The 14670-nt window shown below is 42.5% G+C and overlaps 1 protein-coding gene across 46 annotated transcripts in view, besides 1 other annotated feature; it reads right to left on the bottom strand.

The window, feature by feature from the left end:
* The window catches only part of ARHGEF7 (Rho guanine nucleotide exchange factor 7), a 191116-nt gene that overhangs the window by 137439 nt on the left and 39007 nt on the right, over nt 1-14670 (bottom strand). For 18 of the 46 annotated variants that reach the window (XM_047430733.1, XM_047430735.1, XM_047430744.1 and 15 more), the window contains exons 1-2: nt 14575-14630; nt 14305-14391 (exon numbers count right to left, since the gene is read on the bottom strand). The exons of 4 other annotated variants lie outside the window; for them this stretch is intronic. Coding sequence is in view for 12 of the 42 variants with exons in the window: in NM_001113511.2 (NP_001106983.1) it covers nt 9207-9269; nt 14305-14391 (150 nt within the window). In the remaining 30 variants the exon portion in view is untranslated. Of the gene's footprint in view, nt 1-9206; nt 9270-14304; nt 14631-14670 lie in introns of those variants that run through there. 24 more of the 46 variants (XR_007063704.1, XM_047430722.1, XM_006719956.4 and 21 more) reach the window with 5 other exon arrangements.
* Nucleotides 14229-14588: a silencer, noted in NCBI's record as "silent region_5528". NCBI's record gives its function as "represses an Ori minimal core promoter by ATAC-STARR-seq in GM12878 lymphoblastoid cells {active_cell/tissue: GM12878}" and the evidence as "EXISTENCE:reporter gene assay evidence [ECO:0000049][PMID:35858748]".

Here is a 14670-nt window from a genome sequence, read left to right as displayed (position 1 = left end):
TGGGGCCTCACACAGCTGTCGCACACCGCAGAGACAGAGTAGATGAGACCAAGCGGGAGAGCGGCAGAGGCAGAGAAGCAGGCACAGGGGAGGGCTAGCACCTTCCACCAGCTACCCTGGCCATCTCAGCCCTGACAGTCTCCCTATGACCTGGACGAGAGAGGAAAAACCTAGGTAAGCCAGGACCCTCTCCTCAGGCTCCTGGTACCCAACTCCTCAAGAGGCAAACTGAGCAGAAGGACCTCACTCTGCCAAGGAGGGAACATTATCGAGGCTGGACAGTCACCCTGCTCTCCTGCCATAACTCCACACTGTCACAGCAAGAAGGTTCAGTTTTACTGTTCAAGTGTCCTGTGAGGAAGGGGTGGCTCTGGTGTTCTGTCCTCCGGAAAGCGCCTTATGTCGCTGTCACGCTCTGGTGTGCTGCCCACCACAGTGGTGCCCCCAGGAAAGGCACTACATTCTCAGTGGAAATAGGCAAACTGCACAAGAGCATTCCTAGCATGGCCTCAGTTCCTGAAAAAGAGTCCGTGTGTGCCTCAGCATTCAACAGTGGCTCCTGCAGGAAGCAGGGTTAGGGTATTTAGGAGGGAGAGAGAAGAGTGGACATTTCCCTTTACGTGTGCCTGTAACACTCTGTTTGCTCAGAATGCACACATGTCATTTATAACTAAGAAAAAACATTGGCTAAAACAACTAACATTGCACCAAGGGATATCATGTCACACATGCAGGGCAAAGAATGATTCTCCTGAACTGGGGGATAGGAGTGATACAAAGAGCTACACCCTCATCTTAGACAGTTATTAACTAAAACTGATAAGAAACAACAGTGCCAGGATACAATATGGAAAGGAGGAAGTAAAGACCAAGAAGAAACACCAGCTGAGAGTGTGTTTCTGGGATAAGGAGAGTGCGGGAGGACTGTGTTTCCTTTTGAGGCTCTAAGTATTGTTTATCTTTTAAGCTATGTACAAGTCTTATTGGATAAAAGAAATATAAAATACAACTTGATGACGAGTCCTCAGTTTCTTCTAAGCTCACGTACAAATAGCCCAGAGATCATATCTTTGCCAACTTTCACGCTATATGACCACAAACCTATTTTTGCATGGTGCTTCTCTGTGATTTTCTGACGATAAAGAGGACCTAAGTACCCTCGCACTGAATGACTGCTGTGGATACACCTGACCCAAGAACAAACCAACCGTTTACTCAGGTGGTTACAGCTTGGCCAGGAAATGAGCAACGTCAGTACGCACGTCTAGCGGGCCTAAAATGTTCTGGGACTAACATCTCCTCACTTCCTCCCCCAGCCCTTCACCAGGTATTCCTTCATTCTCTTTGAGGCATGGATGTCCTCCTCCCCACAGCACCTGCCCACAATATGTGTTTAAGACACTCTTCCACATGATACAGACTAACAGGAACATCACTCTACACAATCAGAACCTGCTTGTGCCGAAGTCTGAAGCTGATATCCCAGCCCAGGCCGCATCCCTGAAGTCCAGACCTGATCTTCACTGAGGCATCTCACAGATATCCTGATGGAGCATGTCTGAAGCTGAGTGCCCACATCTGGCCCTGCCAGACTTCCCCATCCCAAAGACAACTTCTTCTAACTGCTCAGGCCAAACCCTTGGTCCTCCTTGACTCCTCTCCTGCATACCCCATCTAGTCCATCTGTAAATCATCTCATCTCTACCCTCTTGATAAAAACTAGAATTCAGTCTCTCCTGCTACCTATGCTGACGGGACTGTGGTTCCAGCCACCATCACCTGGGAGGTCACCCGGATTGGTGCCATCCTGTCCTCTTTGGTTTCCGTGCTTTTGCCCTTGAGTCTTTCAGTCTATACTCAAAACACAGCCAAAATGATCCTGTTAAAACTTACATCACATCCCTTCTCCCCTCTGCCCAAACACCCTCAGAGGCTCCATATCACTTGGAGGAAAAGACAGGACCTACAGGACCACCTGATCTCGCTCCCCACGACTCCCTGGCCTCACTTCCTATTATTCCCCATCTCTTCCAAGGGTCATGGGTTTCATTCTAAGACATTAGGTAAAATCAGAGTCAGGAGGAAAATGACCAAAATCAGCCTTGCGTTTCAGAAAAAAACAGTCTGGAGAAAAGCAAGGATAGACTGGCCAGGAGCTGCTGCAGTGATCCAGGTGAGGGATGTGGACAGCCTGGGCTAATGGTGGTGGGCAAAGAGAAAAGCCAAGATTCTGGGGTTAGTAAAAGGAAGATGAACCAGATGTGACAGATGATTAATGGCAGGGAGTGGGGACTCCAACTGCCAGAGGCTTTCCTGGAGGCTGGTCTTTAAGGCCACTCTACCACCATTGTTCTCCCCAGCCCTAATCTCACCCTTTAATCTACAAAATATCCCTCTCAAACCATCTAGTTCAATCAGCCAAGCATGAAGAACCTCAGGGACAACTAATTTCCATTTGAGTCTCATGAGAACTTACACATATGAGGCCATCCACTCTGGTTTCTATTTGCTAGAAAATGAGAGACTATGCAGAGCTGACCACTGAATCCCTCTCTTGTGCCACGAACTCAGGAGCACGAAGCCCTCAGCTGTACCGCTGTGCAGGACACTTCCTTCTGCCTCTACCCTGGCTATACTGAGTCGGTTCAACAGACTACAGCTAATGAAGACCAAATTCACAGTTGCTTTATCAAGGGGAAGGGATGCAGATAAACAAACCAGAACGCTTGTTCCTCCAAGCCTTCTGGTTGTGGGTAGCAGAGAATACACAGAAACTTAGTATTTTCACGTTAGGCAAAACTCAACTGCATTGTCACGGTGGCAAAACAGCCTCACTGCTTTACTGCACGTGTTAAGTGCTGCCAGTACTTGCTGAACAACCAGCGGAGATACAAGTGATGCAACTCTTGGGTGAGACCAACTGACCAGCTGCACTGGAAAGACTTACCCGGCTGCCCACATGGGCCAGGCATGAACATCTACTAAGGGATCTGTGTCCCATGTCAAGGGCCAAAAAGGGAGAGGAATCTGGGGCTAAGTCCTATTATTAAACTGGTAGCTCATCTAGAAAGTAGCTGCATCACTGACTCACACAATTCAGGCTTTGAAGGAACCTTACAAGTATACAGTCCCAGTGCCCATCCTCTGGCTAGTTAGACGTAATGTGAGTAGAAAGTTCTCTCCAATTCCTTGGAGAGGATCTTCCCCTCCACTCAACCCCTACATGTTCTCTGATTGGTAAGTTCAAGCTGACTCCGACTTCCCATCCTTTTATCATCCCAACACTGGAGAGGATGGCTTTCCCAAAAGGATCCTTTAGAAAAACAAAACCCATAGCCAATATTATCACGGGTCCTTATCACTGACAGGTAAAATGGTGGCTGCCTTGGAAGCTGTGGCAATTTTTAATGCATGAGAGACAACAAATTATCTTAACTTCCTATCAGGAGGAAGTACTTTAAGCAATTCTTTAGTAGCAGGGATTGTTGAGGGTTATTCTTATCCCGATTCCGCTTGCCTGGGGTCACGGATGCAATCGTGTGAGGAAAATGGTGGTAACAACTTGAGACAGCTACTTTCAAACCGGGTTAACACACACTTCATAATGGGGCCTAGGCCATAATAGGCACTCAGAAAATGCTGTTTAATCCTGTTATTGATCACAGACCTCTAAGAACAATACCAGCAGGCTAGACCAAGTACTCAATTGCAGGGTCCAGCACGAATTGGAAATGCAAAGCTCCTTATCAAAAAATTCTTAAGAGTTTCTGATGGCAACAGCAGAGCATGAAACCAAGCACAGGGCCCTGTGTGGCAACACTAGTCGCACACCCACGAGGCAGGCCCTGTCACCAGGTAAGTTCTCCTGAGAACTTGCCCATGGGCCTTGCCAGGAGTCAGCCTAAGAGTATTGCCTTGATGTTGTCAAACACCTCACCTAATGCCACACTAGGCAGCAGCATGCTTGTATGAAGAACCCAGCCAGTGGAGTGGATGCATCTCAGTTCAAATTCCGCATCTCTTCACTGGCTGAGCCGGGACCTGTGACTTCTGAACCACTTCAAGTCTCAGCCTCCTGATCTGCTAAGTGGGGAACTGCCATCTTCTCTGCAGGGCATCGTGAGGTTTCAACAAAACAGTACAAGGAAAATGCCTAGACACACAATTTGTTCTCAACAAACCTGGGTCCCATTTCATTTCAAAGATCACCGTATTTCCCCAGCCTCTTAAATAATCCAAACGCAACACGCAATACGGGGGCCACTCACAGATGGGCTGCTGAGCAACTGAAATGTGGCTAATACAAACCGAGATGTGCTGTGGCCATAACAAATTCCAACACGATTTTATAGACTTAATGTGAAGAAACTAAAATACCTCATTAATATGTATCAATTACATGTTGAAATAATTTTATGGATACACTGGGTTAAATAGAATGCATTATTAAAATTAACTTTAGGCCAGGTACAGCGGCTCATGCCTATAATCCCAGCACTCTGGGAGGCTGAGGTGGGAAGACTGCTTGAGCCCAGGAGTTAGAGATCAGCCTGGGCAACATGGCAAAACCTCATCTCTACAAAAAAATACAAAAATTAGCCAGGCATAGTGGTGCATGCCTGTAGTCTAAGGTACTTGGTGGGGTGGGGGCTGCAGTGAACCATGATCACGCCACTGTACTCCAGCCTGGGTAATAGAGTGAGACTCTGTCTCAAAAATAAATAAATAAATAAATAAATATTTAAAAATGAAAACTAAAATTAACTTTGCTTCACTTTTTTAAAGTAGTTACTAAAAAACTTAAAATCGCATCTGTGGCTCCCAGTATATTCCTACTGCACAGTGCTGATCTAGACAAAGAAGACATTCCAAAGATCTGAAACGAAGGGGGAAGTCTAGCTGTCTACACTAGAAAAGCAGCCTGGATAACCAGAACACTTCATGTTCACCCAGCAAGACAGTACAGCAAGGCACTAAGGTACAAGACAGAGGGCCATCTCTTGACACTTCTTGCCAGGTGAAATTAAAACACAATTACAGTATCTGAATGGAAACTGTCTTTCTTTAAACTACCTACAAAATGTTCAGGGAATAGTTACTCATTTCTTCTCCCAAACAATATTTTTACTTAACTTCCTTAACTAAAGTCCTACACAGGAATAAGCTTCAACAGCTTATTCAATGAATCAGTCAATAAACACTATGTTGTGACCAACCGTTTCACGCTTGGTATCAACAGTATAGAAGGGTGCCCAGCTAAAAAGAATGCCTCAAACATATCTTTGGTGCTTATAAACCTTCAATGCCAAGTTTCAATAAACAGTTTACCTCCTCATCTGTCTGAATCTAGAACAAAGACAACACTTGGCTGGGCGTCCCATCCCAGACTATAGATTTACTTCTGTTTTTATTGCAATTAATTATTAAGCCTGCATCAACAAGTTTTGAGTTTCAGTAAGTGGTTCCCACATTTTAATTCTTTCAAAAGTGTTAATATTTTTAACTATTCTTGTGGGTGAAATCCTAATCACAATCTTGGCTAAAAAAAATCTAAAAGAGAACTGAGCATTAGGCAGAGCAGTATAATAAAAGAACTTGTCCTTCAGAAATACACAGGGAAGATGAGTGTTTCAGAAACAGGTAAGGCAATTTCTTTTCCAAAACCTCTCACTCACTAAATTATCCCAGCTCCTTACGATGCTGGACTGCCCACCTGAACTCCTTCTGAAGTCTCTCGACTGTAAAGTGAGAAAATGAAAACCTGCCCTCTCACCTTTGCAGACCGTCTCAAGATGCATTTACAGCCAGAACTCCAGCTTGTACAGAGTGGCCCAAGAATGTCCCACCCAGTGCCATGCAAGGTTACTTGTGCAACAGCTGATAACACTGCAAATTTCTAGGGTTTTCAACTTTTATTTCCAATTCTAGCAGCTTTTCTTTCACATCCTCTTTCAAAAGTCCAATGCAGGAAATGTTGACTGACTTACATTTATTTTAGTTTGCAATCTCCCCAGAAATATAAAGCACTGTGGAAGATATAAGATAGAAAAGCCAAAATGTTTATCCATAACAAGTTTTCCATCTTCCTAAGGGAAAGAAAATATATAAAAGATTCAAGACAGCTGTCCACAGGACATCCATAGGACAGGAAGGAGTACTCTCATGTACTGCTACTGGCAAAAGTTCTCTGGAAGCTGTATGGTAGCAGGTGTTCAAAGCCTTTGAAAGCCCCCACCTTTGGCCTTGCAGTGCCCTATCAGGGAATTTGTCCTACAAAGAAAATCAAGGATTAAGGGTGTGGTACAGAAATGTCCATTGCACAGTCCACTGTTCACAACCGTGGAAACTTAGAATCCACCTCTGTATCCAAAAATGGGGATTATTACCAGGAACTAAGAGGCAGCCATTAAAATCAGTAGTAAAATAATTATTTAACATGGGAAAAGACTCACACTGGATCAAATTAAAGCATGTTATAAAACATTACATGTATCTATGATGTCATGGATATTTTAAAAATATATTTACATATTTGCAATGGTTAAAAAAAAAATTACCAAAAAAGAAATACTAATTTTAACACTGGTATCTCTAAACGGTAGCATTATACAGCTTTTCATTTTCTTCTTACATAGCTCTATTTACTGCAGTTTAAAAAATGAATATGGAACCCTGGGTAAAGATTTAAAATATACCATATGGCTCCAACTACACGAAAGAATAATAATGCAAATGATAATAACAGCTATTGTCTCTTTGGCACCTCCAACTTACCAGGCACTGTTCTAAGAGTTTTGCATGAATTTATGTAATCCTCACGACAGACACAAAGGGCAAGCACGTGTGACACCCATTTTCCTGATGGCACAGCTGGCGAGTGGCAACACAGGACAGCAACCCAGGAAAGGGGTTGGGGTCAGGCACTACATTCCCTCCCCCTATACCGTCCCCCGCAAAGCAAATACCTGATAATCATGGGCAGCTACCAGGAGTGAGCAATAACCCTGAATCAAAAAAGGAGAAATCAGCTGAAGATCAAAGTCACAATTACTAGCTGTGAGTGTGCCAAGCTAACCATTTAGCACCCATGCCACAAGCATGCTCTGTGCTACTCAGCATCATGTACACATTCTCAGAAGTGACACAAGTTGACATCAGAAGTGTTTTGTATTTCAGATTTAGGGATATTTTCATTATAGTTATCAGTTGAGCATCTCAAATCCTGAAAATCCAAAACACTCCAATGAGCATTTCCTTTGAGTGTCACATTGGTACTCAAAGAATTTCAGATTTTGGAGCATTTTGGATTTTCAGGTTTGGCATGTACATTAGTCCACGTTCACACTGTTACAAAGACATACCCAAGACTGGGTAATTTATAAAGAAAAGAGGTTTAAATGACTCACAGTTCCACATGGCTGGTGAGGCCACAGGAAACTTACAATCATGGCGAAAAGCACCTCTTCACAGGGCAGCAGGAGACAGAAGGGTGAGGAGCAAAGGGGGAGGAGCCCCTTATAAAACCATCAGATCTCCTGAGAACTCCCTCGTTATCACAAGAACAGCATGGGGGAAATCACCCCCATGATCCCATCTCCTAGGATTCTACTGGATCCAGCACTGTCCAATAGATTTTTTTTTTCTTTGTAGAAATGAGGTTTTGCCACGTAGCCCAGGCTGATCTCTAACTCCAAATCTCATCTTGAATTGTAATCCCCATAATCTCCTGGGTCTCTCCCTAGGTCTCTCCCTAGACGTGGGGATTATGCAGATTACAATTCAAGATGAGATCTGGGTGTGGACACAGGCAAACCGTATCAGTCAGCATGCTTAACCTGTACTGTTAAAACATCCAAGGTGATCCACAGATTCAATGCAATGTCTACCAAATTTACAATGGTATTCTTCACAGATATAGAAAAACAATCCTGAAATTCACATGGAATCACAAAAAAAAAAAACCCCAATAACTAAAGCATTCTTGAGTAAAAAGAACAAAGCTGGAGGCATCACACTACCTGATTTCAAAGTGTATTACCAAGCTATAGCAGCCAAAACAGCATGGCACTAGCATAAAAGCAGACACACAGACCAACAGAGCAGAATAGAGAGCTGAGAATTAAACTCACATGATACAGTCAATAGACCTTTGACAAAGGTGCCAAGAACACCCAATGGGAAAAGGACAGTCTTCAACATATGGTGCTGGGAAAATTGGATATCCACATGCAGAAAAATTAAATTGGAACCTTGTCTCACAACACATACAAAAATGAACTCAAAATGGACTAAAGACTTAAATGTAAGACCTGAGACTATGAAACTACCAGAAATAAGCACCATGGAAAGCTCCAAGACATTGGTCTGGACAATGAGTTCTTGGATATGACCCCAAAAGCACCGAAAACAGAGGCAAAAATAAGATAAATGGGATTTCATCAAACTGAAAAGATTATGCACAGCAAAACAGAATTAAGAGACAACTCACAGAACGGAAAGAAAGTATTTGCAAACCATACATCTGATAAGAAGCTAATATCCAAAATATATTTAAAAACTCAGTAACAAAAAAAAACCTGATTAAAAAATGATGAGCAAAGGACCCAAACAGACATTTCTCCAAAGACATACAAATGGCCAACAGATTAGAAAATGTTCAACATCACTAATGATCAGAGAAATGCACATTCAAATCATGAGAGCATCTCACAACTGTAGAATGGCTATTATCAAAAAGATGAAAGGCGACAGGTGTTGGCAAGGATGTGGAGAAAAGATAAGCCTTGCACATTGTTGGTGGGAATGTAAATTCCTGAAGCCATTCTGGGAAACAGTATGGAGGTTCCTCCAAAATCTAAAAACAGAATTATCATATGATCCAGCAATCCCACTACTGGGTATATAGCCAAAGAAACTAAAATCAGTATGTTGAAGAGATGTCTGCACTCCCATTTTCATGGCAGCACTATTCACAACAGCCAAGATATAAAATCAATCTAAGTGTCCACTGAAAGATGAGAGAATAAAGAAAATGTGGGATATATACACAATAGAATACTAGTCAGACTTTTAAAAAAAGGAAATCCTGTTATTTGCAACAACAATGAATGAACCTGGAGAACATTGTGCTAAGAGAAAGCAGGGCACAAAAAGACAAATACTGCACGATCTCACCTATATGTAAAGTGTAAAAAAGCTGAACTCACAGAAGCAGACAAGAGAATGGTGGTTACCAGATGCTGAGGAGGCTGGGAAGGAGGAAACAGGAGCTAGACAGGGAAAGGGGAGATGTTAGTCAAAGGGTACAAAATTTCAGTCGGACGGGAGGAATAAATTTTAGTGATCTATTGTACAGCAGGTGACTACAGTTAACAATAATTTAAAGTATATTTCAAAATTGCTAAAAGATTAGATTTTAAATGTTCTTACCACAAAGAAATAAGAAGTATGTGAGGTAACGGATATGTTCATTCCCGACTTAATCATTCCACAATGCATTCATATACCATAACATAATGATGTTACTCCATAAATACATGCAACTATTTGTCAATTTAAAAACAAAATATAAGAATTAAAGAAAAGAAACTGGATATGAGGCAAGCTTTATGTGACTAGCTGGTCTACATTTCATGCTCTGTTGATCTGAGAGACCAAAAGCCAACCAAAAACTTCCAAGGGTGAGGATGAGAAAAGAGCAGATTTCTGTTCTGAACCACCTGGGCCTTTGGATGCTTTCCACTTTTCCAGAAAAACAGTTAAATAAATGAACAGCAACTGTGAAACCTGCAGATAATTTTAGTATTAGTTGCAGTGCCAAGGAGCTGGAAAGATCAATTATTAATATATTAGGGTTACCATCCCTATCATATCAAACATAACTATTCCAGAAATGGTCTATGACAAGAAAGAGCTGTGGTTTCCTTACACTTGACAAATTGGCTTTATTCCCTCTTGGCAACTATGAGAACAGGCTCACCCAGTTTCATCTGAAATGTTTTGTTTTCCTTTCAAGTAGTGATGGTAACACTGTATGTGAGCCCACAGTCAATTCTTAAGCAAAAAAGCCTCATTAATATCAAACTATCCATCAAGATTACCCTTTTCTATTATGTATGAATATAGCTAAGTATCAAGAACAGTAGACATCTTTCTTTCAAACAGAACTAAGTTAAAATCCATAGCTTTATTATAATAATTTTGTTGCTAATATTCCTGAAACCACGTTATTAATGTGAGCTTAATAATGTATCAATTAACTGGAATCTTATATCCTTAACTTTCAGCTCTTGAAATAAAAAACTGGTAAACATGTTACAGGCGTGATGGCTTTAACCAAACAAGCTTTCTCCTAGGAACATAAAATCTGCTTTTGCCAGTTACATTTCACCTGCTTCCCTAGTTGTCAGATGCCTAATCAGACAATGTTGCATAGGGTGGGAACATCTTGGAAGCTAATTCATTGTGACCTTTTCAGTGAACAAGCATGTGCACACACACACATGCACACATACACATCCTACAGTAGCTACAACACTTGAATCAGAATTCCACAGTAACATAGCAAAATACTGGAAACAGAAATCACTCTGAATTTCTCTGTAGCTGTTTACCTAAGAAAATGCAAAGAAATGTCCTATCACTTGCTTGGTTTGCCTCAGTAAGTTACTTATCCTCAAGTGAAATTCTACAAACATCATCATCATCATCATTTTTTTTTTCTTTTTTTGAGACGGAGTTTTGCTCTGTTGTCCAGGCTGGAGGGCAGTGGCGTGATTAGTAGAGATGGGGTTTCACCATGTTGGTCATGCTGGTCTCAAACTCCTGACCTAAGGTGATCTACCCGCCTCAGCCTCCCAAAGCGCTAGGATTACAGGCATGAGCCACTGCACCCAGCCAACATCATCATTATTCTTATTAATAATTATTATTTTGGTTGCTTTTGAGATACAAATAGAAATTGTGTGCCTAGGGGTTTTTTGCCCTAACTGGAAAAAAAAAAAAAATTTAAGCATGCCAAGTAAAAAAGTTATAAGAAAATGAAGTCATCCAAGTTGCACTGCTTTCCAACAGTAATTAAATTTTTTTAATTTTCCAAATTTCAAAGTTTTCCAGCTTAAAACCCAGTGCTTCTCAAAGTTTACCAATAAATGCGACTCACACAATATTCCTTTAAAACCAATTTATAAAAATATTTTCATAATCAAAACAATTGGGGGATAATATCTGATTTTCTACAGGTAATTAAGGAGGGCATGCACCAAAACAGCTGACATATTAACCAAGTTTACTTCCTTTTTCCCTTTAACAAATCTTAGCAGAGCTTAAACTGACAGTAAATAAGAATATATACACCAAAAACAATCTGTTACAAACACAATTCAGTCTAAACTAACCCCTGGAAGAAAAGCACCTTGACATTTACAACTATAGAACAAAAGCTAATCTAGAATTTAAGCTATTAGTTTTAAGTTTTGTGTCTGTAGTTTCAAAACATTTCTTATCAATTTCCCACCTTTCAGAATTTTGTGAAAATGAAATGTGTAAATCCCACAACATATTTCACAAGTGCAAGGCCCTTCCCTCCTGACTCCCTAAGCAATTCTTAAACACTGGGAAATTGCTGCACTGTGGCCCGCATGGGAGATGACCAAGTCCTTCAGGGCCCAGCCCTGTCCCTTCACATCACCTTACAAGGCTGGAAGCCAGAGCTGGATGCATAGCATACAAAATGACTTCTCAGGGTAACTTCCCAAAAAACACAATGACTGAACAATTTATCAGGTTTTTCATGTGCTGTTTTCATATTTTCATTTTTATTATCTCCTAGGTAATTACAAGTGTGACTCACACTAAGCTTGAAGAATGCTAACATTTGCCTCTTGCTTAAATTTACTGGAAGAGATATTTACTCTTTAAAAATAGCACAAAATAAGTCAAAACTAATTTTTTACTTTAAAATGAAACTCACTTGCTATCACTTACAACCTCAAGTTCATTCTATTAGTAACAAATATTTATTGAAAGCCTATTATGTGCCAAGCACTATTGTAGATGCTTGGAATATGTTAGTGAAAACTCTCTTCCAGAAAACCTTCAAATAAACTCTTAATTATAAAAACAATAGTTACTGTATGAAATGTCAGCAACCTTTGGAAAACTAAAAACGGTAAGTTTTTAACATTCAATTTACTTTTTTTTTTTTTTTTTTTTTTGAGGGAGTCTTGCTCTGTCACCCAGGCTGGAGTGCAGTGGCAATCTCAGCTCACTGCAACCTCTGCCTCCGGGGTTCAAGGGATTCTCCTGTCTCAGCCACCTGAGTAACTGGAACTACAGGTGCACGCCACCACGCCGGGCTAATTTTTGTTTTTGGGTTTGTTTAAGTATAGACAGGGTTTCACCATGTTGGCCAGGCTGGTCTCGAACTCCCGACCTCATGTGATCCACCCGCCTCGGCCTCCCAAAGTGCTGGGATTACAGGCGTGAGCCACCACACCCAGCCTCAATTTACTTTAAAACAAAACTTTTTTAAAAAGTTTTACACTAAAGTCAGATAATCTTAATGTGCCAATTGAGTTTCAAAAGTATGTTAACGTAAACAAAACTCAGTAGTTTCAAGAGGATAATATAATAAAATCCCTCACAAAGGTGAAGAAAAAGTAAAACCTGCCACTAGCAAGGCATATTATCACAGCCAATAAGGCAGCTGGATTACAAATGACAAAGCTGATACGACAAAGGGTATCAGGGAAAGACTACTGAAACACTGTCTTTTTCCCCTTTGAAAAGGCCCTAAGTTTCTTGGAATCTCCCCTAGCACTTTCACTTACGTGTAATAATTTCCTTGCCAACATGAAATACTACCAACAATAAATTTCTTTGTGTTTACAATCATAAACAACGCCAGTAATACTTTAATCTATGAATTCCTACATGTCTAATTCAATTAAATAAACTTTCCATGTAACCTGCCCTCACAGATTTGATGTTCTAGGTTTTCCGAGAAACCTATAGCAAAATATTCTTCGGGAAGGGAAACCTCTGTTGGGTTATCCTACATAACAGGTTCTACAAAGATGCTTTCATATACAGTTGTCCCTTTTTATCAGCAGGGAATTGGTTCCAGGATCCCGGTGGATACCAAAACCCTCAGATGCTCAAGTCTTTTATATAAAATGGCATAGTCCCGTAAACATTAAATCATCTCTAGGTTTCATACACTACCTAGTACATTATAAATGATATGTAAATAATCATTATACTGTGTTGTTTTTTATTGTTTTTTTTTAATTGGTTTCCCCCTCCTCCAGTATTTCCAATCCAAGGTTGGCTGAATACACGGGTGGGTAACCTTGGATACGGAGGGCCGACTGTACTCTTATCTGGGAGCTTGATATTGCCCATCTCAGTTTACAGATAAGAAAACTAAGGTTAAGAGTGACAAAGTGGCAACATAAACGGCAGGACTTAAGTACAGGACTGACTGCAACCACTTAAGCAGATCCCAAGAAAAGCAAAGCTAGATTTCTGTATTTAAAGTGCTACCCCAAGTGTAGGAAGAATCGCAATAGCAAAATAAAATGAAAGAGTTAAATTCCCAGAAACTGCCACTGAAAGACTGAAAAGACAATGTTTAGTAAAGTGACACAACATTTTACAACAGGGAATCGAGACCCCGCCCAGTATGTTCCCCGACAGCATGTTTTATAAACGTCACATACTGGTTAATGTGAATTCTCTGGACATTAAGTGTTGAGGGTACGGAAAAACCACCGAATTTCTGGTCTCAGGAAGAAAAAGCAGAGAAAGGAGTGCGGCTGGGAGAAGCAGGCGGAGGGCTGGCCCATTTTATTTCTGCACGACTTTGCCTGATCACCTGCTGAGGATTCTAAGGCCTGACCCAGACCTAGATGCCAGCCCTTAGATGACAATCTCTAAAAGCAGAGTTCATGCTGAGGCAGGTGCCAAGAAATCGGTTCACACCCCTGATAAACGGTTGTTGAAAATGTGTGTCACCTGCACCACCAGCGACCAGAACCACTCTTCCTCACTGGAACGAGAGCAATGTCTGGGGTTCCACACGCAGACTCCACCCTGCCCTGGGGGTGGCCCGCGCGCCGCCACCTCCCGGCCATTACCCAAACCCGCAACGCCCCGTTCCACACATCCCGGACTCTCGAGCAGCCGGGGAGGGTCGGATCCGGGCGCGGAGGAGGCAGGAGGTCCGGCTGGAGCGAAGCACCCACCCCGGGCCCAACCCCGTCTTCCCGGCCCCTCCCTCGGCCCGTGGCCGCCCGCGCTCACCTCCAGCCGCAGGGAAGCCCCGCAGCCGCGCAGGAACTCGCGGATGTTGCTCAGGCACTCGCTCTCGCTCCGGGGCTCGGGGTAGACCTGCAATACAGAGCACAAGCGCTGAGCGCCGTGGCCGGCAGCGGGGACGCCGCGGACAAGGCCGAGCGACGCCCACGGCCCGCGCTCCCAACACAGCGGGCGACGCTGGCGAGCGGCCCCCGACGGCCTGGAGCGAGCCCGCTGCCCCAGATGCCAACCCGCTCAGCCGCTGCTTCTCCTCACCCTTTTTTCTTCCTCCGGGGCTGCACCAATCTCTGCCCCTTCCCGCACCAGGAAGTGAGCCCCGGCGCCGGAAGTGACGTCCTCAGACCGCGCCCC

Source organism: Homo sapiens, chromosome 13 (genome assembly GCF_000001405.40).
Source record: "Homo sapiens chromosome 13, GRCh38.p14 Primary Assembly".
Lineage (NCBI taxonomy): Eukaryota > Metazoa > Chordata > Mammalia > Primates > Hominidae > Homo > Homo sapiens.
The sequence above is the reverse complement of the archived record's forward strand: the minus strand, read 5'-3'. Positions and strand labels throughout refer to the sequence as shown.